Consider the following 24683-nt stretch of genomic DNA (forward strand, 5'->3'; position numbering starts at 1 on the left):
GCCTTGATACTTTGTTTTTTGTACCTTGAGGAGGATTGAACCTCACACAAAATGGAAATGGGCTGCTTCCAGCCAGGATCAAAGTGAGCAGGTGAAAAGATGAGTGAAAGAACGTAACATTCGACTGCCTCTGGGATGACAGTGTGCCCTTTGCAGTGAGCTTCTACTGCCAGGTTTGGAAGGCTCTCCAGAGTATTTCCCACCCCAGAATTCTAGACCCATGCTGTCCAATGTGGTAGCTACTGGCCACATGTGACTGCTGAGTACTTAAAATGTGGCTAGTCTAATTTGAGATGCATTCTAAACATAAGATACATACTAGATTTCAAGAACTTAGTATAGGAAACAAATGCAAGTATATGATTAATAATTTTTTATATTGATTATATGTTGAAATAATACTTTGGCTATTGGGTTAGATAAAATATATTAAAATTAATTCTACCTGTTTCTTTTTTATGTGGCGATTAGAAATTTTAAAATGACACATGTGGTTCACATTATATTTCTGTTAGTCAGTGCTGCTCTAAACTCACCCATCACTAGCACAAGGATCAGGGCAGCTTTTCCAACTCGGGGTAGGGGATGGGAGCCCTGTCACAGCATCCCTGGGGTAACAGGAACCACAGCAGGATCTCTCCCTGCCAGTCTCATACACTGGAGAGATACCAGCTAATTGATGGTCTGGCAGAGACCGGTGCTGCCATGCCCCCACACTCTTTTTTTGTTTTTCTTTTTTCTTTTTTTGTCCTGAGTGAGTTCCCAGATAATTTTAAGTACAACTGGGGAAAGATTTCCACCTTAGTTTTACAATGAAAGAGGACTGTAAGCCATCAATCTAGAAGGAAACCTAGAACTTGAATGCAGCATGTTGTCATGGAAACAGAAATGGATGAGAAAATTAGGAGACCTGGATTCTAATTCGGCTCTGCCATCAATTCATTTATGCTTTCCATGACAATGAATTCTCACTGTGTGTCAGGCATAGTAATGCCCTGTTCTAGGCACTGGAAATTCAGAAACAAATAAGACACAGCTTCCAATGTAATGGAGTTCACACCCGCTGCGGATCTTTGAATAGGAGCCTCCCATCTAGTAGTCTGCCACAGCAAAACAGATTAATGACAACAAGGGTCTCATTCTAGGTCAAGGGTAGTAGGGCTTTTGAGAAGCTAGAGCACCTGCCCTGCCTAAAGACTTTCAAATTCAAAGTATAGAAAAGCACTATGATGGTAAGACTACTCCATAACCTAGATCACAATGTAGTGTGAGATTCCAGGCCTAGACACCCTCTAAAGGGTTTGTCCAACTATGTTCTGGTTTCTTTTATTCAATGACAGGGTTGGTTTGTTTTGGGTTTTTGTTTGTTTGTTTGTTTGTTTTTAGCACAGGCACTGTTTTAGGTGCTGAAGATACAGTTATGAACAAAACAAAGTCCCTGCTCATGTTTTGGGATACAGAGGTCAGGGAGGGAGACAGATAATGAACAAGCTATCAGATGGGAATGAGTTCTATGAAGGAAATTCTAGAGGAAGAGGATAGAGATGGGTTTTTTTGTGGTGGGGTGTTCAGTGAGTAGATTCTCCTGCACTCGTATCTTTTTCAGTGTACTCACAAGAGCAGGAGGTAGTAAGGAAAAAGAGGGTATGTGAGTGTTAAACAAAAAATTATTTTGACACTTGTTAAAGATGATAAGACAGACTTTATGTGGGGGGACGACAATACTGGGGTTTTGTAGTGAGGGTGAACAATTGAGCTCAACTCCAAATATAAGGAAAAGTGGGAATTTAGCCAAGGAGCAGGGTGGGGTATCAGTGGACGGAAATTACTAAGATGAAGTATCAAAGGGGATTTTGGCTAAACTTACTTGACAGGATTTTTGCTGAAGGCAGGCCAAGGTGGTAAGATATCAGGGGTAGGGGATAAGAAATTTGGTCAGATACCAAGCATAGACAGATACTAAGGGTGAAAGATGAGGAATTTGATCAGAAATCAAGGGTGGGAATTTTCACTAAAATGACCTGGCTGGATTCTTGTTAAAACTGGACTAAATGAGCCAATGTCAAGGGCCTACTCAGAAAGAGGACTCAGAGGAGCCTGACTTATGTTTCGTCAAAGAAGAGTCTTTGTCATGGGTTAGATTCTGGGTGTGATTGTATTTGTTGTATGCTTTGTTATACTCCTTGGTATAAAAAACCTTGCTACTGCTGAAAGGGAGCCCTGGGCAGGGCACAGAATAGCCTGCTCTCATGCCTGGCATTCAGTCTCCATTATGAGGTATTGATATGCCCTCCCTCTGAAGGCTAGGTCCGCCCTCATGCCACTGTCTTTTAACTGTATGTTACCTGAGATTGTCTCCCTTCTTGGATATAGAGGCTTGAAGTTTTCTTTCCCTTGTATATGTCTAGCTTCTGGCCTATAAATGGGGCTGCTCTTAATGCTGATGAGGATGGATGGCAAGTCCTAGGAACTGCAATACTGGGACCTTGCTAAGCCTTTGATCTAGGGCATTTCTCATTCCCTTTGGCTAATCTCACTTGCCATATCTTGTGCCCTGATCATTTTGATGATTAACATCCTGAGAATCCCCATACCTGCTGTGGCCCTAGAAATCCATTCCTCTTAGCCCATATTAGCCATACAACATAATTGATATATGGCCCAGAAATGCTCTGTCCTCTGTTGGGGGCTCAGAGCTCTTGGATTTCTGCTTGCTGGGATTGTTTCACACAAACTGGGAAGCTGCTTGATATATGTACATCGAGTCCTGGCCTTTTCCCAGAGGTCCCCTGGTTGTTTCCTCTAAGCCAGATTTGGGTTAGAAGCAGTTTTTACAAGGAATAGTTACATTCCTAATCACATTTATTTGATAAGTCAGAGAGAAGGATAAAAGAATCAGCCATTTCAAAAAACTGAGGTGTTTTCCTTTCTCTTTTTCGTTGGTAGGCTGGTGGTGATGCAATGTGGTTTAAGGGATCTACTCCCTGCAGTAATTGTTAGCTTTCCATCATTAAAGCTTTAATCTTTTTGATTAATTCATTTTGTTTTGATGTGCTCCCTTTTCAAATGCAGATAGTCCTTGAAAGGGGCTGCCTTATTTTTCCCAGCCTTAGGCAGTCCTGAGGAAAAGAGCACAGAAAGGTATGGTTTTTGTCGGAATGTGTGTGTATGAAATTTGGAGAGTTGTCCAGAGTCAATAGGCCAACAAAGTAGGGCAGACAGATAACATTGGGTATCTTAAAGGAAACTCCAAGGCTAGGTGGACTCCAGAGCCTACTTACCCCATCCCAGCTCAAACATTACTTTTCTGTGGCCTTGTATGCCTCGTTTTGCTGGGCCTCTCACCTCCTTTCCATTCCCAACCCCTGAATTAAATGCTTACTTTCTTTTTCATTTTTTTTTTTTTTAAAGACAGGGTCTTGTTCTGTCACCCAAGCTGGAGTACAGCCTCAACCTCCTGTGCTCAAGCGATCCTCCCACTTCAGCCTCCCAAGCAGCTGGGACCACAGGCACATGCCACCACATCCAGCTAATTTTTTATTTTTTGTAGAGACGTGATCTCCCTACCTTGCCCATACTGGTCTCTAACTCCTGGGCTCAAAGGATCTTCCTGCTTTGGCCTCCCAAAGTGTTGTGATTACAGGCGTGAGCCCAGCTAAATGCTTACTTTTTATTATAACTTTTATTATAATATGTATCACTTTATATTGTGATCATCTATATATATCTTTCTCTCCAAATCTTAATGTATTAGAGAGCAGGTACTGCATCTTATCTCCCTGGCACACACAGTAAGTACTCATGCAGTTCAACTGACTTGGAGATCAAATGGTCCTTCTTACAGTTTGCTCCCTGTCATTTCACTTCTGTGGACAGTAGTAGCAAAGAGAGGCTGGGAAGGAGGTGAATTGGGCCTCCTGTCCCTGAGGGTTGCCCTTTCAGCCCATTCTGGCTTCTGATATTCTACTGAGCTCAGCACAGTGACTGGTTGGTCCTCTGAGCATCACATCGAGCTCCATCCCCTGCTTCAAAGCCCAAAGACTGGATTACTAAGTGAGTTTGGTGCCCTTCCTATATCACCAGAAGAGATTCTTGAGTTCAAAGTTCATCCCAGGGCAGTGGCTACCAACTCATAAGAAGGTGTGGAGGCTTTTGTTTGTTTAATATGGAAGGAAGCATCTTTGTTTGAGGCTGGGAGAAGCTGCTATGGCAGCTCTAGTTGAAAATTTCCTATTTGTCAGTAACATGGGGAACCAGGCAGCTCTGCCTTCAGTCTTCAGGAGGCCACAGGAAAGGACTCTGAACCCAGTGGCTATGCCATTTGCCCCCTGTGTGGCTGGCCAGCCAGTGTCGTAAGCACTGTAGTTTGGAAGGGAATACCTTGTAAGGTGTCCGGGAAATGAGGCCAAGTATGTCTGGAGGGCTGGGCACGGTGGCTCACACCTGTAATCCTAGCACTTTGGGAGGCGAGATGGGCGGATCACCTGAGGTCGGGAGTTTGAGACCAGCCTGACCAACATGGAGAAACCCCATCTCTACTAAAACAAAAACAAAAACAAAACAAAACAAAACAAAAACTTATGTCTGCAGTATTGATCTGAGGGGCAGAAGCAGATAGGCCCCAGGTTAGCCTGGTCTACACTGAATCAGTAGCAGTAGCAGGGGAGTCAGCTTCATTAGTGTTCCCGACAAACTGCCTTATCTGGACCAAAGTGAGGCTGGCCTTAGAAGACCTGGCAATGAATTCTGGGCCTCACCAGCATTGGAAAAATAAAGCTTGGCTTCTATAGCCATTTATCTCTTCCTCAGCGTTCAGGCTGTCTGAGAGACGGCCGGCCTCCTGACACTTGAATGAGGTGTTGGGAACTGAATGATTTACTCCTCCTTCTCCTTACCTTAAAAAGAAAACTTCTAGGAGAAAGCAGGACTAACTTTAAGGGTGACAGTCTCCTCGTAGGATTCCAGGCACTGCTGCAGACCATTAGAAGGGAGTGGGAAAGGCAGGAGTCTGGGGCAGAAGTAGAAGTCATGGCTCACTCAAATTGTGCCAGTTAGGTGGTTGGATGCTTGCTTTAGATATGGGTTTCCCTACTTTGTTGACTCAGGGACTTGCCACATCAGTAGCAATAACAACAGGACAGTGCTTTACAGTTTAGTAAGTACAGTTCTCTCATTTTAGCTTTATATAATAACATTCCTGTAATTATCTCCCCCACTTTACAGATGAGGAAACTAATTCACATAGAGGTCAAGTGTTTAATCCAAGGTCACTGGTGGAACAAGACCCAAACTTAAGTCTCTTGATGCCAGTCCAGTAGCACTTGCTCATGGCTTCATGTAGTTGTACACAGAGCTTCCATCTTAGTTTACTAAGCTTACTAAGCAATTCTAATTTTTTTTTTTGAGACAGTCTTGCTCTATTGCCCAGGCTGGAGTGCAGTGGTGCGATCTTGGCTCACCGCAACCTCTGCCTCCTGGGTTCAAGTGATTCTCTTGCCTCAGCCTCCCGAGTAGCTGGGATTACAGGCACCTGCCATCACTCCCAGCTAATTTTTATATTTTTAATAGAGAGGGGGTTTCACCATATTGGCCAGGCTGGTCTCAAACTCCTGACCTTGTGATCTGCCTGCCTCGGCCTCCCAAAGTGCTGGGATTACAGGCGAGAGCCACCACGCCCAGCCGCAGTACTTCTTTTTTAAAGACAAATTTGAAAGGCCACTTGCCAGCTGCAGCCCTTGTAAAGCCAGGAACATTGTTCATGGCTAATACCAAGAGCAAATCAGGGATACCCAATCCCTACATGGTTGGGGAGGAAAAAAAAAAAAAAAAAAAGGAGTATCTTTGGAAATTCAGATTTTGTCCTTGTGGGAAGAGAGAAGGAAGAATTTGGCATCCTCTAGACTTTGGAGCGTGGTCTACCTAGGCAGCTGGGCACCAAGCCCAAGACCCAGAAATTCTGGTTGTGCAGGTAGTGCATCCTCGCAGGCTAGACTGAGTTGGCCAGATTAGGGGCATGGCTGTTCCTGGCCCCATGAGACCTTGAGGTGAAGCAGTAATGCCTCACAGGATGGATAGGGTTCTTAGATGAAGAATTCCTCAATGAATTAGAGTTGTTAGATAAGCTGGAAAGAAAAGGAGAGATGTGAAATGGGAATACATGCAGTTTCTGTCTCTTGGTTCTTGGCCTAGTTATTTCTAGTAAAAAGAATCAGCTTCATCTTTATCCCAAGTCCTCTGACTCGTCCTTCTGGTTCCTCCTAGTCTGGGGAAGCACAATGCTTTTAAATTCCAGGCCCACAGACTAGATGTAGGTGGTGGCCTTTCCTGAAAATGGGTTGCCATGAGAGCAGTCTGCCTGTGTTCTTTAAGGCATTTTCCCACTTTTAGGATTAACTTGAGTACTGGGAAAATAAAAGGAGGCAGAGTTTAGAAGATTTAGAAATCTCCATCAAATCTAGAAAATGGGGAAAGCATCCCTGGTCAAAGAACATGAAGAGTAGCATGTCTCCCACCAATCCATCTTACCCCTCCCAGGAGACCTAGCAGGACTGGAATATTAGTTGTCCCATGTGCCTCCTAGATCTCTGCTTTCCTCCTTGTACTTTCCACTCTACTGCTTCCGTACACTCTCCACATTCTCAGTAAAAAGGGAATGTATTCTCACTCCACATGAGGTAATCATCGTCTCTGCCTCTGTAATGCAGTCACCAATAGCTTAGGGTGTAGGGACTAGACTGGTGGCAAGTCTGTCTTTACCTTATTGGAGAAGAGTAAAGCACCCTGGAGCCCTCTGTGAGGTAACCCTCCCCCACATGTCCCATGTGATATTCTCTCTGGGCCAGGCAGAGGATTAGAGCAACCCTTTGTTATTAATACTTGAGCAGTGGACAGTGTGCTGGACAATCACTTATTGTGGTGCTCTGAAAGATCCTCTGTGGGCCAGGAAAGCCAAACCCAGATATTGACTAGCTGCAGCAAGCCCTTAGAGAGTATTAAGTGGAGCTCAGGAGCACCAAGCTAAGCCTAAACCTCCTTCATCCCCAGTTGTGAGTTCATGATACCTGTCTCTTTGGCTACCTGCCTCTCTACCTGCCTCTCTCATGCTAAATGCCACCTACGTCTGGACAGTGTGTGCGTACTGTGCCACTTTATTCTAGAATTAGGTAAAGAAATATTTTTCCTGCTAAGTTTAAAATACGTAAACCATTGTCCTTTCTCCAAGTGAACGGTTGCCATCACTCAACAAAGGGAAAATACTTTGTGCTATAAGCACAGGCAGGGGTAAACTTTTGAGTAAGTGGAGTCTTCACCAGAACAACAAACTGGAAAAGAAAGAAAGAAAGAAACATTCCATGTCTTGTCTTTCACTGTGTATGTGATTTGAGCCTTGGTGGTTAAGCATTTGTTTGTTTATTTCTGAGCCAGACTCCTAGTACTGAATTTTGTGAAAGTTCAAATAAGGACTTACTCATTGACCTTACTTCATCTACCTCCCAGCAGCTTGTCTCAATATCGTTGACTTTGGGTACTTGCCCAGAACACAAGGACTTTATTTTAATTTTACATTGATACTCTAAGGGGAAGCTAATGAGAAACAACTGACTGCCCATAGCCTTTAAGACTGGGGTTGGGAGGCAGGTCAGGGTTGATTCCTATAATCTTAGGAGATAATGTTTTTATTCCTGCTTGACAACTTGATTCAAACTAAAATCATCCTGCTACTTTCTGACCTGAGTGCACTATTTTCCTTTTTCACTAGCTACAGGATAAATCAAGCCAGGATCCAGGGGCATGTGCGAGGTTTGGAGGCCACACATGGGGCCATTCCAGGCAGCACTGTGGGCTAAGCCCAAAGCATCAGCCAGCAATAATTGCTAGAAACAAACTGAAAAGAGCAGGACAGGCTGTTGCCTTCCAAGGTAATCTCTATTAAGCATCCTGACCAGAAATAAGAGGAAGAAGCAGAGAACCCCTCAAACCCTGAGGGAGAAAATGAAGCGATTGTTGCAAGAGTCAGAGGAAGAAATCATGGTTACCTTGGGACCCTCCTCCAGGCTTTCCCCAGATAAGGCTAAGGCAGAGACCATGTGTGGCACCAAGAGCAAATCCTCTGGCCCTGCTGGATCCTTACCAGAGGACAACTCCCTGCCCCCTTGCTGTGGGTCAGCAGCCTTAGCCATTGGTGGAGATAGAGATGGGGACCTGGCCCAGCTTTGCAGCTTTGGGCAGCAGAACAACAGCCAGCTTCCTCTGGGCTCCACTGCCTATGTTTCAGGGTCTGGTTCTCAGGATCCCTCATCTGTCAGCATTACCACAAGCTGTCAGGAGCCCTCAGAGAGGAACCAAACCAAGACCCTTTTGTCCAGAGGCCATGGCCAAGGCTGTAGCCGTGAACAGCGGGAACCTTTGGGGGATGTAGTAGAATACATCATCAGAGAGCTGCAAGGCATCAGCCGTCTTCAGACTGAGATTGCTGAGCTGCAGCAGCACTTGAGCCAAGTCCAGGGTTCCGTGGATGAAGTCTCTAGCTGTGTAGACTCAGTACTGAGTGAAATAGAAGGCTTACAGGTGAGCACCTGTTCCCTGGCCAAGGTGTGTGAGGGTGAAAAGGCCCAGGAACCCCACGTGGACAGACCCAGTGAGGAAGCCATTCTGTATTTGTACGGACTTCCTGAACAAGATGGAGAAAATACTATGGAACTGGTGGAAAGCTTTCTAGCCAAGCACCTTTGTGTTAATGGCATGCAGTGCAACAGGTACATTAAAAAGGCTTACAGGGCAGGCACATCCCCTTCCCCTAGGCCCACTGTTGTGAAGCTTGCCCATCTAGAGCATAGAGACTTCATCTTGCAGAAATCCATCCTCTTGCAGAATGTGGGAGTCCGAATTGCCACCAGAGAAGAACCAAGCTGCCCACAGGGTAATAAGAATCCCCAGAAGGAGTCTATATCATTTTTTCAACAACAACATCAGGATTATAGTCAGACTTCTTTAAACCAGGATGAACCAGTTCTTCAGATGGAAACAGGGGACAGGGGACCCATAACAGGAACATATCAGATGAAGGCTCAGGATCAACAGAGAGAGCACCAGGCCCCTGAGCAGCAAGGCCCTTGCTTTCTACTCAAGAACAATTTATCAAAGGAAAGTGATGTGCCCAAGCTAGGGGATGAAATAAAAGGAGCATCAAGAACATCTCAAGTTATCAGTGGCAGCTGTGATGAACTGTCAGAGAAAAAGGCTTCTCTGTCTACCCCCCATCAGTTTGAGGAACCTGCCCTAGTATTAATCTCAAAAGAGGAGGCTTCTGGGAAGTCCCAGTTTTTCAAACAGTACAGCCAAAAACATGAAGCATGTAAAGTAGGAAAACCAGAAAATGACTGCCACGATAAAAGTGAGGCCAGCAGCTGCCTGTCATTGTCTGGGTTACTGAAGACAGAGAGAATAAACGCAGAGGACAAGCTCCTGGGCTGCGAAGCTGGGCTCGATATTCTGAGCTCAAAGGAACTAGAGGACCTTTTGGCAGACAAGTCCAGAAGGCTTGCAGCTCTGAGCTGTGACAGCATGATGGAGGAAATTATCATAGGGCCTGAGACTTTCAGTGACATGGTTCATATTGACCTGAATGAAGAGGAGGAATGTGCTGCTCACGTCCTCAAGGATGTCTTTGACAAGTCCTCTTGTGTTCTGGGTGGCTCTCAGGAGGATGAGGATGTGGAAATCAAGTTTTATACAAGTAAACTGGGCCGAGCAATTCACCACTTTCGTTCTGCTCTGCAGGGTGTGTTTCAGAAGCTGGAGAACAGTGGGTCCATCAGTCCTGAGGACCTGGAAAGCAATGAGAGTGGTTCCCAGTCAGAGAACAGTGATCGACTTCTTGGGACAGTGAGTTCAGGGGGTGCCCAGGATTGCTCACTGGAGAGCCCTGGGAGTCAGGGGAGTGAAAGCTTGCTCAGTGTGGTCTCTGGTGGAGTTGGCGTCTCCACACAGGGAGAGCAAACCCCTCAGGATCCAAGCACCTTCTCTCTTGCTTCTAATAACTCCTTGCCAAGTGTTGCTCTGGCTCCATGTCTGGGAAGTGAGACTTGTTCCAGGCCTGGATCTCCCAAGCAGGGCAGACTGAGCCTAGAGCAAGTGTGTACAGAGACCGTTTACCTCAACAAGTGCATCAACAATTTTAAGAATGTTCTAAGAGAGAAAAGACTAAGGCAGAAAAAACTTCTGCATGAGCTAGTACAGAAGGCAAACCGTCTCTCAGTAGAAGACATACACTCAGGTATTCTGAGTCACTATTTAACAGGGTCCCAGCTGGCTAAAGTATGACCTCCATCTGGCCAGCATGAGACCTGGTGTGGTGGCCAGTTTAATAAGGTGTTGGTTGACGTCCATAGCTTGAATCAGGCTAAATTACTCAAGTAGAGAGCTTAAGCTAATCCTGTGGGAATTGGAGTGAAAGATGGTTCTCAAGCAAGAGGAAGCTTGAATTGGAGTTAAAGAGGGTTCTCAAGCAAGAGGAAGCCGTCCTTATCTTCCAGTCTCTTGTTGTGGTGCTATACCTGTTCAAAAGAGGGAGGAGCATCTGGAGCAGAAGTAGTTTGCAGCTGCAGAGCTTTTAGGATATCAGATGTAAAGAAGGGGTGGGAGTGAGAGGCAGGAGTTGGGGATGACACATATTTGCTCACAGGCACTAGAAGGGCTGAGAAAGAATCCTGTGTTGCATTTAAAAATTCTTCTCTGTGGATTTGTTGCTGAGATAAGATTGCCATTTCCCCAGTAGCTGATGGGGCTTCTCTCATAGGCCCCTGTGGGAATTTCCCCTACCCCAGGTACCTGTCTCTTCCTAGTACCTGACTTGCTGACACAGAACCTTATTTCTGATTTGGGGCATCCAGGAGCTGCTTATAGTGCTGACCTAGCCCTAGAGCCCAACGTTGCCCTCCACAGGTCTTATTCCCTTTCTTCCATCTCCCCCTAAAAGCTGCTCACCTGCAAGCTGGCAAATGGAATGTTTTTTGACTACAGGAAGTAAGAGAACATTTTTCTAGGCAGTTTGGAGATATGTAGCTTTAAAATTACTCTTCCCAATCAAAATTAAATTTATCCAAAGAGCATATGCTATATTCATCCAGTTTTAAATTTAAATGGGGTTGTCCTCTTATGCATATAACCTGATTAATCTTCCTAAGGCAACATCTAAATTGTGAAGCATATTGTGTTGGCAAAGGTGTGAGGGAATATGCACTTGTACGTTGCTGGTGGGATGGGAGTATAAATTGGCATAATCTCTAAGGAAGGTAATTGGCAAAATTTATCAAAATTACAAATATATATATACCCTTTAAGTCCTCAACACCACTTACAGGAATGTATCCTGCAGACACATTTTCACATGTGGAAGTGACATATGGACAAGGCTATTTTTGAAGCATAGCTTTTAATAGCAAAGATTAAAAATAACCTAAAAATTCATCAGGAATTACTGGTTAAATAAATTATTGGCACGTCCAAACAATGGGATATAGTACTGTGTAGCTATAAAAAGAATGTGGTAGCTCTTTACTGAAATGGAAAGTTATCTAAGATATATTGACATACAAAAAAAAGCAAAGTGCAGAGCAGTATGTATAAGATGCTTTCATTTGTATAAAAAGAGGGAAAGAATACAATACACACACTTATAATGTCTGCTTGTATATGTATAGATTATCTAATGAAAGATATGTAAGAAACGGATACATTGTTGCCCATGGGGAAATGTATTAGGTGAACAAATGGAATGGGAGGGAGATTTTTCTCTGTGTGCCTTCTTTTAATTTTTAGAATTTGAATCATATGAATATAATACTAAGCCATAAAGTTACATTTAAAAAATGAAAATTACGTCATTCTCTTTTCAAATTTCCCTAGAGCTCCTTCTTAGAACTTATCAAAAAGAGTCTAAATTCCTTCACTTTGCATTCAAGGTCACTGCAATTGGTCTCTAGTTTATATTTCCAGGCTTATCTCCCATTGTCCCACCATAAGTCTTTCAAAAGGAAGCTTTGCTGTCATACAAATTTGCCTTGCACTTTCTATTCTTAATACATTCATATATACATGCTTCCTTCTAACATAAAATGCTATGTTTGCCATTTCAACCTAGCAGAATTTACCTATTCTTCAACATATATCACCTCTTCCAGGAAGCTTTCTGAGGCAGTAATTTCTCAGCTGTGAGGGATTTCTCTGTCTTCATAACTTTGCAGCCTCTTTTTCTTCTTCCCAGGCAATGAGAAATTATTTCAGCACAGCAACAATAGAAACAACAAATATCAAAGCAATACTTCTTACAAGCTCTTTAAATATTGGTGGGAGCTGATGTTAGCATGAGCACCAATGATGAGGACACTTGTGTCTAACTCTTCAGCTTGCAGAGTTTCCTTTCTGGGCTGCATCCTTCTAGGCAATGCAGAAACTTGTGGTGCCATGGTAGGCAGGTGGTAGTAGCAGCAGTCTTGATGAATAGAAGGAGGTTTTCTAAAGCACCAATAAGAAAGCAAGTCACAGTTCTGGGTCCTATCCAAGACTCAGTACTCAGTCTGGCCTGAGGGCTGCAGACAGAATCATGGACAGGGTGCTCCAGCACTCCCTTGCATAGAGCAGGACAAGCACACAGGCCAGACTCTCACCAACATAGACTTCACTGGAGCAGTCCCCTAACCTAGTAAACTGATTCAGTATCACAGAGACTACCAGCATAACGAAGCTTTTGAAAACTCTGCTTTCTTTACTGTTCTGCTTGGGATCTTTTAGGCCCTAAGCTTACTAGTTGTAGCTTATGATTAATTTGAGTTAGTTTTCATCTTTTTTTTCTTGGTATGTGCCAGGTACTGTTTTAAGTACTCTCATGTGCATTGTATAAAATTCAATTCTTTTATTCCTGTCACTCCACCAAAATAGCTTTGATCAGGGCCATTAGATGTCCACCATATTGCCAAACTAATGGTTCATTTTCAGTCTTCTTTTTATCAGTCAGCAATTTGACACAGTTGATGATCACTTTCCTCTTTTTATTATAACAGCTTTATTGAGTTATAATTCATGTGCCATAAAATTCACCTTAAAGTCCCTTAAAAAGTATTGAATCGAATGGTTTTTAGTTTATTCATAGTTATGCAGACATCATCACCATCTAATTTCAGAACATTTCCATCACCCCATAAGAAACCTCTTACCCATTGGCAGTCACTCCCCACTTCTCTTTGCCCCCAGCCTCTGGCAACCATTAATTTACTTCCTGTTTCTATGAATTTGCCTATTATGTACATTTCATATAAATGGGTTTATAAAATATGTGCCCTTTTGTGTCTGGCATGATGTTTTTAAGGATGCTGTAGCATGTATCAGTACTTCATTTCTTTTTCTGGCTGAACAATATTTATTGATGGACATTTTTTAAATCCATCAGTTGGCGGACATTTGAGTTATTATTACCACTTCTTGCTTATTATGAATAATGCTGCTATGAACATTTGTATACAAGTTTTTCTATGGAACTATATTTTCAATTCTCTTGGGTATTTACCTAGAAGTAAAATTGCTGGGTCATATGGTAATTCTGTTTACCATTTGAGGAACTGCCAGACTGTTTTCCAAAGTCATTGCAGTATTTACATTCCCACCCGTAACATATGAAGGTTCTAATTTCTCTACATCCTTGGCAACACTTGTTATTATCTTTTTTATTATAGCCATCCTAGTGGATATGAAGTGGTGTCTCATTGTGGTTTTGATTTGTGTTTCTCTAGTGACTAATGATGTTGAGCATCTTTTCATGTGCTCATCAGCCATTTTTCTATCTTCTTTGGAGTAATGTCTATTTAAGCCTTGGACCACTTTTAAATTGAGGTTTTTTTTCGTTTTGTTTTTGAGCTGTAAGAATTCTTTATATATTCTGGATATAAGTCCCTTATCAGATATATTATTTGTAAATATTTTCTCTCATTCTGTGGGTTGTCTTTTCACTTTCTTGACAGTGTCCTTTGAAGCATACATTTTTTTATTGTTTTTTTTTTTTTTTTTAAATTCTATTGGCCAGGTCTGTTGGCTCATGTCTGTAATCCCAGCACTTTGGGAGACCGAGGCGAGAGGATCACTTGAGCTCAGAAATTTGAGACCAGCCTGGCCAACATAGTGAGACCTTGTCTTTACTAAAAATCAAAAAACAATTTTTTGTGGTAAAATATACATAACATAAAATGTGTTATTTAAACCATGTTTTTTCTGAATATTATGTGGAACATTTTAACCATTTAAAAATATATAGTTCCATAACATCAAGTACATTCGTATTGTTCTGCAACCACCGTTCATCTCCAGAATGCTTCTCATCTTGCAAAACTGAAACTCTATACCTATTAAATAGTAACTCCTCATCCCATCTCACCCCAGTCCCTGGCAACCACTACTCTACTTTCTGTCTCTATGAATTTGATTGATCTAAGTACCTCATGTAAGTGGAATCAAATAACATTTGTCCTTTTATGACTGGCTTATTCCACTTAGCGTAATGTCCTCAAGGTTCATCTATGTTGTAATGTGTCAGAATTTCACTCTGAAATTTCACTCTGGAATTTTTAAGGCTGCATCGTATTCCATTGTACACATGTATCACATTTTATTTATCTGTTCACTCATCAGGACACACATTGCTTCCACCTTTTGGCTATTGTGAACAATGCTGCTATAAACAGTGGTATACAAATATTTTTTGAGTCCCTGCTTTCAGTCTTTTGGCTATGTACCCCAAAGTGGATTGATCAAATTTTATGGTAATTCTAATTTTTTGAAGAATCACCATACCATTTTCCATGGTGGCTGCACCGTTTTACGTTCCCACCATCAGGGCACAAGGGTTCCTTCCAATTTCTCTACATTTTCTTCAACACTTGTTATTTTCTGTTTTGTTTTTTTTAAGTAATAGCCATTGTAATGGGTATGAAGTAGAGCACAAAAGTTTTAAATTTTGGTGAAGTGCAATTTATCCATTTTTTTCTTGTTTTGATTGTGCTTTTGGTGTCATAGCTGAGAAATCATTGGTTAATCTGAAGTCAGAAAGATTTGCTCCTATTTTTTTTATGAGTTTTATAGTTTTTACTCCTATATTTAGGTCTATGATTTTTTTTTTTTTTTTTTTTTGAGACGGAGTTTTGCTCTGTTGCCCAGGCTGGAGTGCAGTGGCGTGATTTCGGCTCACAGCAACCTCCGCCTCCTGAGTTCGAGCAATTCTTCTGCCTCAGCCTTCTGAGTAGACTAGCTGGGATTACAGGCATCCACCACGAAGCCTGGTTAATTTTTTGTATTTTTAGTAGAGAGGAGGTTTCACCATGTTGGCCAGGCTGGTCTCGAACTCCTGACCTGAAGTGATCTTCCCACCTTGGCTTCCCAAAGTGCTGGGATTAGAGGCTTGAGCCACCACGCCCAGCCAGTTTTGAGTTAATTTTTGTGCATAGTATGAGGTAGGAGTCCAGCTTTATTCTTGTGCATATGGGTATCTAGTTGTCCCAGAATGATTTGTTGAAAAGATTATTCTTTTTTCATTGAATAGTCTTACCACTCTTGTCAAAAATCAATGACCATAAATGTAAGAGTTTATGTCTGGACTCAATTCTATTCTATTGATATTCAGTCTGTTCTTGTGCTCAATTCCTTCTTTTTGAAACACTTTCTTCATTTGGCTTCCAGAACACCTCTCTGTCTTGGTTTCCTCCTCTCCCCCAACATTACTGGCCATTCCTTCTTAGTTATCTTTGCTCTTCCTCTCCCCAACCTTGTAGCATCCTGGGATTCAATCTTGACTTCCTATGCTCACTTCCTAGATGATAATCTTTCAATCCCGAGTTTCATAAGCATTCCCAGGTTTATATCTCCAACCCAAACATCTTCCATGAACACCAGACTCCAAATCCACGTAACACCTCCTTATGGATGTAAATAGGCATCTCATTTGACATATCCAAAGCCAAACTCCTGATCCTTCTTCTGAAGCCCCTGCCAAACCTGCCTTTCCTATTGTCTTTCTTACCCATGAGTGGCATCTTTATTCTTGCAGCTATTCAGGCCCAATCCATAGAGTCATTCTTGACTCTCCCTTCTCTCTCACAACCTGTATTCAGTCCGTTAGTAAATTCCACTTCCTCCACTTTTAAAAAATATCTTGAATCTTGCCATTATCTCTACCTCCACCACTGTCATCCTTGTTTAAGCCACCATTTTCTCTCATCTAGATTACTGCAGTGGTCTCACTGCTCTCCCTGCTTCTAGAACCTTGTCCCTCTACAGTCTGTTCTCCTCACAACAATCAGAGTAATCCCCATAGAGCATGAGTCAGGTTATATCACCTCTCTGCTCAATGATTTCCTGTCTCACTCAGAATGGACACCAGCATTCTTATAAAGGCCTGTAGAGCCCTATTTGAACTGGTACTTTATTGCAAATTTGCTGTTTCTCCACACCAATTATGCTCTCACCTCAGGCTTTGCATTTGCTATATGTTCTTCCGAAAATACTTTTTCCCAGAACTCCAAATGGCTTCTTTACTCATTTCTTTCAAGTCTGCTTTGATATCACCTATCAGTGAGGCCGCCCTAACAACCATTTTTTGGATTTTTAATAACAACTCTACCTCCATCATCAGGGGGCATTATCTTTTTCCCTTATCTGAATTTTTCAGCCAAGTTCCTATCACATGTGACATAGTATATTGTTATTTCTTATGGAAAGCAGACCCTGGAACAAGAATGTCTGTTAGGAATTTTGGCTTTGCCACTTGCTGGCATCTTGCTTAACCTCTCTGATCTTCAATTTAATTATCAAAGAAGTGGAGGTAATAATGGTATTTACCCAGTGTGGAGTTGTGAGAAATAAATGAGCTTACCCAAATAAAATGCCAGATACAAAATAAGTGTTTGATTAGTATCAGCTACTGTCATCATCTTCATCATTGTTTATTATCTGCTCCTCTTACTAAAATAAAAGCTTTTCAGGATCAGGGAGTTTGTGTCATTCACTGCCACATCACCAGCACTGATTGAGAACAGTGCCTAGTGTGCACATTAGGTTCTTTTAAAATTTTTTTAGTTAAAAATTTTTTTTGAAAGACAGAGTCTCAGTCTGTCACCCAGGCTGGAGTGCAGTGGAGTGATCAGAGCTCACTGCAGCCTTGATCTCCTGGTCTCAATGGATCCTCCCACCCCAGTCTCAAGTAGCTGCACTGCACGTGCAGGCACATGCCACCACTACAGGCATATGCCACCACACCCAGCTATTTTTTTCATGTTTTGTAGAGATGGGGGTCTCACTTTGTTACCCAGGCTGGTCTTGAGCTCCTGACCTCAAGCTATCCTTCCTCCTGCCTTAGTCTCCCAAAGTGTTGGGATTATAGGCATGAGCCACCATGACCAGCCCTTAGTATAATAGGTTCTTAAGAAATGAATCCTTGCAATAACCCTGGGAGGTAGTTGTTCATATACCTATCTTTTTATAGTTAAGGAAATGTAGGCTCAAATAAGTTGAACGTCTCAAGTCTTTTGACTCTCAATAATGGAGTTAAGATTGTATTATTGGGTATACTGAGGGGAGTGCTGATGAGGAGGTATGTCACTTCCTTATAAAATGGACTGTCTGGAACAGTGAGAGAGATCATTCTTAGGGGGTCAGGGATTTTCCTGCAAAGCAGTTGTTTTGTAGACATTTATAACTTAACCTGCAAACTAAATCTAAGTGGAAAAATCCTAAGGCATTTTAGGGAGTTGGGAAGCACAGAAAGTTTGATTCTTAAGAAAAAAAGTTGTTTTTTAATGTTTGTCCAACGGGTAGGACAAACTGAATAGCCAGTATAGCAGTTCCTCAGGGTCTGGAAAATGGTACAGACTACTGGTTAAGAGACTTATACCTTCTCTGGTTGGGCAAGAGACACTTCTTAGAATAGCTGTTGTTTTCTAAGTCCTGAAAGTTATAGTTTTCTTTTACTACATAGAAATGATAGGCGATGTGCTAAGCCCTCAGGCTACAAAGGTGAAATAATATATAATCCTTTTTTCTGAAGAAGTAGTATAAAGTGAGAAATATTATAAAGGAAGATGTTTATACAGACAACTACAATATATGATACTACAAAACAGTATTAACAACATACTGTCTTAGAAGTGTGGACATAGAATGGTGGAGACCAGGGCAGCTAGTGGAGAGGCACTTAATCCTACCTTGGGAAGGAAAGCAGACAGAAATTTCACAGAGTCATTAGTATTTGAACTAAGTCTTAGGGAATATGCCTGAGTCCACCCAGTAGGCTGGGTGTGGGAGGGAGGTGTGAAAAGTCTCAGATGTGATGGAGAATGTTCAGTAAGACTTGAATACAGGACACGTGAGGAGCGGAAGGAAAGTAAGCTAGAACGGTAGGGGAAGTACAAATCTTGAAGCACTTTATGTGCTACAGTAAGCAACGGGGAGAATTGATGCAATTAAGCAAAGAAAAAAATGCGATCAGAATTTCGAAATGGGAAATGTGGAGTATGGATTGGAGAGGAGCAAGTCTAGTGGCAGAGAGATCAGCTTGGAGTCTCCTGTTATAGTCCAGTTAAGAGATGATAGTGGCAGTGTGAAATGGAAAGGCAGCAGTGGATGCCAGAGATATTTAGGAGGTAAAAAGTACAGGGCTGAGTGATTGGATAGGGACAGAGTGCAGAGAGGGAGAGATCCATTGTCTGGCTGGGGACAGGAGGAGACGTTTAGAGATGGAAGATAGAAGTTTAGTGTTTGGATATGTTGAATTTGAACTAAGCATGCGATATCTAGGTGATACACACTAAGCAGTGGTTAATGTGTTGTGATAAAGTAGGTATCTGAAGGTTAGGTATAACTCCTTTGAGAAGTGGAAGAGGGAGCTGACTAATGGAAGAAGAGACTTATCAAGTGACACAGAGGGCCCAGTTGAAGTTAAAAATCTGCATCTAGGGCGGGGCGTGGTGGCTCACGCCTGTAATCCCAGCACTTTGGGAGGCCGAGGTGGGCGGATCACAAGGTCAGGAGATCAAGACCATCCTGGCTAACACAGTGAAACCCTGTAAATACAAAAAATTAGCTGGGCATGGTGGTGGGCGCCTGTAGTCCCAGCTACTTGGGAGGCTGAGGCAGGAGAATGGTGTGAACCCAGGAGGTGGAGCTTGCAGTGAGCCGAGATCGCACCACTGCACTCTAGCCTGGGCAATAGAGCGAGACTCCGTCTCAAAAAAAAAAAAAAAAAAAATCTGCATCTATTTGCTCTGGTTCTCATCTGTACAATGGTGGGACTTGTCAAGGCATTATGTGTTAAATACCAATGAGAAGGATGAATGTAACTTAGGTGCACTAGGATGGCCTTATTAACTCTTGCTTGGGTGGGCATCAGAGAAGGCTTCCCAGAACTATGCCTTGGAGGAAGAGTTGGATTTTCCTCTATGGAAAGGAGGTGTGAGATGCTATTTCAGGCTAATGGAACAGAATGAGTAAATAAAAATTTGGGGTTTTGAGTATGTGACGTCTTTGTGAAACAAGACAATTAGATTGTAGGAATGTATATGGGGTCAAGAAAGAGGGCAGAGGAGAGGAATTTGGGGATTTGGGCCAGATCATGGAGAGCCGTGACGGCTCTGTCAATGGATTGATTTGATTTTAATCTTTAGGCATTATGGGGAAACCTGTGGAGAACAGAAGGACACAATCAACTTTGACATGGTTGTAGAATATATTTAAGATAGTGAAGGGGGAGAGGTACATTTCCAGTTTGAGTCATGGGGTCAGTTAAAGGATTGTTTGCCTAATTTTCTTACTCAAAAGGAACACATTATCCTGGGGGGGTTGAGATGTAGATATGGAAGAGATATGTCCCCATTCCAGGGAGTGTCTTTCTCATCTTTCCCACCTTCCTGGAGCTGCACTGTTTTGGAGGATTCCTTGTCACCTAGTCCAGGACAGGTGACCCATTAAGTAAGCAGAAATAGCTTGAAAAATTGGGAACCTGTGAATTCGATTCTTGAATTCTCCCCTCTACTTGTGATGTGACATCAATGGGCCTTTAAAAGAGAAAAGAAAATGGAGGGGCACTAATGGACCAAGGTGGGTGGACTTTCCTTACAGAAGGAAGCCTGTGGGCCTATCCATGTATGGCCTAGAAGGCAATGTAGTCTCTGATGAATAGGAAAGGAGTAATCTCTGGGCTTTATTTTTATCCTGTTATGGCTTGATCGGGCCCTTCTGGAAGTGTCAGTTTCCTTTAGAGTATTGTCCTGGGTTTGATAAATAATCAGATTTGGGATTGCAGTCATGGTTTTATCATCTAGATCACTGTGATTTCTATTAGGAAAGCAGCCAGTCGATGCCCCCAGGCCTGTAGCCATTCAGCATCCTGGTCCTGGACTTAACTCCAGGCCCTACCCTGGTCCAACTTAATTTCAGGTCCGAGAAACGGGCCAGAGCTCATTGAGTGAATGCATGGCCAAGCCTGCATTGCAAAATGGAAAAGGCTCAGTCACCAGGGCCTTTGGAGTTTGAGGACTTATACCAGATCTAGAATAAGCTCACGTGGCTTCTGAGGAAGGAAATCACTCTGTGCTCAGCCAGCTTAGATAGTCTGTTGGAGTGGTCATTGGTAACAAATCTGGTCTTGCAACCTTGGCAGCCCTGACCCTTGATGCAGGCCACTTTGGAAATGGGAAAAGGATGACTGGAACCCCTGGGTAGATTTTGTCCCTTGATTTAGTTTGGAACATCTCCAGGGATGTTCCAAACTAAAAATCCTGGGCCAGCAAATACAGGCAGGAAGGATTCTGGAAGCCAGTCAGCTGGGCTCTATGAACTGCCTAGTTGTCCCGAGGACCTCTCCCTCTCTTCCATGTCCCTTGGAGTTTAGCTGGCATTTTCTTTGGGTTCCCTACTTATAGGACTGACTCTACTAACCTTTCTGCCCTTTTTTCTGCTCTTTCTCTCCTTGCAGAAGAAAAGCGAGGAGCCCTTCAGGTTGTGCCTATGACCCTTTGGGTCGTCCTTTTTTGTCTATTTCCCTCCCCTCCTTCCCAAGCACTGTATGTGTGTGTGTATGTGTGTGTGTGTGTGTACATGCACATGTGCGTGCATGATCTGTGCCTCTGAGCTTTGGCTCATGCAGTCTATTTTTCTGAAAAGCAGTTTGTGTGCATGCTCCTTGCTTGTGTGTGCTCCTGCAGATATCCCTGGAGCACACTGCGAGAATGTGTGTGCACCAGCATGGGTGTGCATTCAATGTAGCATGTGTGTGCTTATACTCAGTTTGACTCCCCCAGACACTGATTACCCTCCTTTTCTCCTACTCAGCTCAGTGTGTGTCCATTTTCTACCTGTTGCTGCAAACTCTGGCATATGCTGTAAAACCTTGGCTGAGCCCAGCACGCATGTGTACTTTGTATTTGAGAGCAGGCTTTGCTGCAGGCATTTCCTGCCTCTTGCCTGAGGCCCTAAGTGTGAAGGTACTTGTGCTCTGAACAGGCTTCCTGACCTCTCTGTTGAGCACAGGCTTCTGTAGCCCTGTTACGTGGTTTCCCCAAACCATGTGAATGCATAGTATACTAATGCCCTGTGCTTGCAAGCACTGGCTCTTGAAGACCATGAGGGTTTGCTTTGCCTGTGATTTGGGCCATAGTAAACACTGTGAATCCTCCTCAGATGAGTTTCTGCAGATCACTGAATACTCTGAAGCTTATGTTCTGAAGCCATAAGCCTAGGATCCATGCTCACCATGTGTTTCCTTCAGACACAAGTTGTGTGTACTATGTGTGCAGGCTTTTGCAGACATGTTGTTATCCCTTCTGAGCACAGGAAATGTGCATGATCTGAGCCAGGTTCTCAGACTTTTTGTGACTTTGTTTCCTTAAGCCCAGTGGTTTCTGGCAAATATCTCACTCTGGATAGGAAATAAGAACCTGCTGAGTACGGTGGCTATTTCCAGAGGGAAAATAAGTTCTGGTTGGTAAGATCTGGGGATTTAGGGATTGGCTCCCCAACACTCAACCCTTACCCCTTCCATAAGCAACCTTAGAAGACTTGCAGCTTTTCTGTTATTTCCCACCTACTGTTGTTTCTTCCCACCTACTGTTGTTTCTTCTATACTATCCCCATTGTCTTTTGCTTCAGCCACTTCTGGCTGCCTTTTGGACCTGGCCCTCCCATTACCAATATCATCCTACCTATAGAAAGGATAGGAGGCAGATGGGGTGGAATGGGGGCTCTGGTCCGTAGGGAGATAGGCTTGATTAAAACATAGACAACCTAAGAGGAGTCTTAAATCCAAAATTCATGTGAGCCTATTGCTGACCCAGGTAATTCTCCCTCACTTTTCCATCACCATTAGCTCTGTCCTATCTGTCCCTATTCTCCTCTGTATTGCCTCATTGTTATCCATAACTTCTCCCCACTTTAGCTCTCCAAAACATCACTCACTGTTCAAAGCTAAGCACCTTAATTCTGCCTCCCTTCTGGAGCTCATTTGCTCCAGGATAGTTAGGAGGCAGGGAAGTTGTTGGGAGTGGAAGAAAACAAGGAGGGGCAGGAAGCCCCAGACCTGTTAGCCTGAAAAAAGCATGTGCTATTGGACCTCTGGAGCACTCTGGCAGCTTTGGACCTTTCTGCATGCTGCTTGAAGGATTTGCTTTTGTTTATTTTGTTTTCTTTTGGTACAGAAACCTTTAAAAGGTGATTTTTGAACTGTTCCCTTCCTTGAATTATTTGGTGTCTCAAGTTTCGACTTCTCATTCTAGGGCCTATAGAATTCACTAGAATGATAATCCAAGTGTCTAATCTACCCTGGGTTCTCTTGTTATGTAGAATTTATTAAATAGAGAGAATATACTTAGTGTCAGTGAGTCAGAGGTTCAAGGCACCCAAACTAAATCCAACCACAAAATGAGATAGGAATCCAGAGAGACCAGGTCTGACTCTGGGACATTAAGGGAGTTTAGGAATATAGCTGGAAGAAGACTGGACTCTATATGAAGGTGTCCTTTTGCTTTAGTGAGGCCTGGAAGCCTAAGTAGGCCCTTCTCCTGTGCTTGGTTTACTGCTGTCTACACTAATGGCTCATATAAGAGTGATATGAGTTCTGCCATTCCAGTAGACTTCAGCCCTGCAAACTCAGTGAGCTTTGCCCTATCTCCTATTCACCAAGGAGACAGGTACCACTCATTTCAGCAGCCTGCTTGTTGCCCTGACTGATCAGGACATTGGTTTAGATGTCAGACAGGCTGTCACCACATGGTGAATGTGACTTACACTGCTCTGGGCTTGTACTCTACTGCTCGCTGCTCAGATTACAGGCAATCTCCCATCTTTCCCAGGATCTAACTTGTTTCCTATCTCTTTTTAAAGATTCCAGATGATGGTGACCCCTCTCTGCCTCAGTGGCTCCCGGAAGGGTAAGTAATTCACTGCAAGGTTTCTGTGGATTTTATTCAGTATCTCTTGATGCTTTTAGCTTTTCCCCTGGGAAGCAGGGGAACCAGCTTCATAAGCTGCATCCTGGGGAAGGAAAAGGTTCCACTATAGGTTGGTTGGTTCTCTGAGGCAGAGGAGAGAACTCTGCTGATGGATTCCTTGGAGGCAGAAGAGGGAACTTTGCAGAATGGTTACCCTGGTGCAGGGGAGGGAGCTTTGGGGCCTTCTCATCCTTGCCTCTATAATTTCTGGTCCATCTTTTCATAGTGGTGAAATACTCTTTAAGTAGAACAAAGAGGAAATTAGAAAAATATCTGCATTTGGAAACATTTTCTTTCCATTTCATTTGTTTTTAATTTTTGTAGGTACATACTAGGTGTGTCTATTTATGGGTTACATTAGATATTTTGATACAGGCATACAGTGTGTAATACTCACATCAGGGTAAATGGGGTATCCATCACTTCAAGCAGTTATCCTTTCTTTTTGTTACAATCCACTTACACTCTTTTCGTTATTTTAAAATGTGCAATAAATTGTTGTTGACTGTAGTCACCCTGCTGTGCTATCAATACTAGATCTTATTCATTCTATCCATTCCATTGTTGATGGTGTGGCTGATTAAGTTACTCCTAGGCTTGATCCTGCTCCAGCTGTTGTGAGTCATCTACTTATTCCATTCCACTGTAGTCAGGATATAAGTAACACCCCTTTCTGAGCTCTGTATGTTCTGTCCGTGCTTCTTGTTTGGGAGTTTCAGACCTGTGTGATTGTACCAGAGTCATTTTAAGCTGCTCAGTGTAGCCTGTAACTGACTGTTCTTAAAGAGAGAAGAGAGTTCAAGTACCTTCTCATTCCCCACTCCTTCCCACAAATACCACCAATTAGTTATCTAGACCTTCCTTTTCCCTTTTTCCTACAAAGGCTTCTGACATCAGAAGTCTCAGTAGTTGCTTCCTCTTGTGGCCAGGGAAGAAGAAAGATCAGGTAGATGATCTACTATATTTTTACATGCTCCTTTCCCTTGCAATTTGTCATCTTTAAAAAAAAATTTTTTTTAACTTTTGTTTTAGGTTCAGGGGTACATGTGCAGGTTTGTTATATAGTTAAACTCGTGTCACAGGGATTTGTTGTACAGATTATTTCATCACCCAAGTACTATAACAATAGTTATTTTTTCTGCTCCTCTCCCTCCTCCTACCCTT

The 24683-nt window shown here is 42.9% G+C and overlaps 1 protein-coding gene across 18 annotated transcripts in view; it reads left to right on the forward strand.

The window, feature by feature from the left end:
- UNC13B (unc-13 homolog B) overlaps positions 1-24683 on the forward strand; it is a 243327-nt gene that overhangs the window by 181526 nt on the left and 37118 nt on the right. For 13 of the 18 annotated variants that reach the window (NM_001387551.1, NM_001371189.2, NM_001330653.3 and 10 more), the window contains one exon: positions 23413-23459. In NM_001387551.1, coding sequence (NP_001374480.1) covers positions 23413-23459 — 47 coding nt within the window. Of the gene's footprint in view, positions 1-7759; positions 10277-21010; positions 21034-23412; positions 23460-24683 lie in introns of those variants that run through there. The other 5 variants (NM_001371187.2, NM_001387555.1, XM_047422600.1 and 2 more) reach the window with 3 other exon arrangements.

This window comes from Homo sapiens, chromosome 9 (genome assembly GCF_000001405.40).
Source record: "Homo sapiens chromosome 9, GRCh38.p14 Primary Assembly".
Classification (NCBI taxonomy): domain Eukaryota; kingdom Metazoa; phylum Chordata; class Mammalia; order Primates; family Hominidae; genus Homo; species Homo sapiens.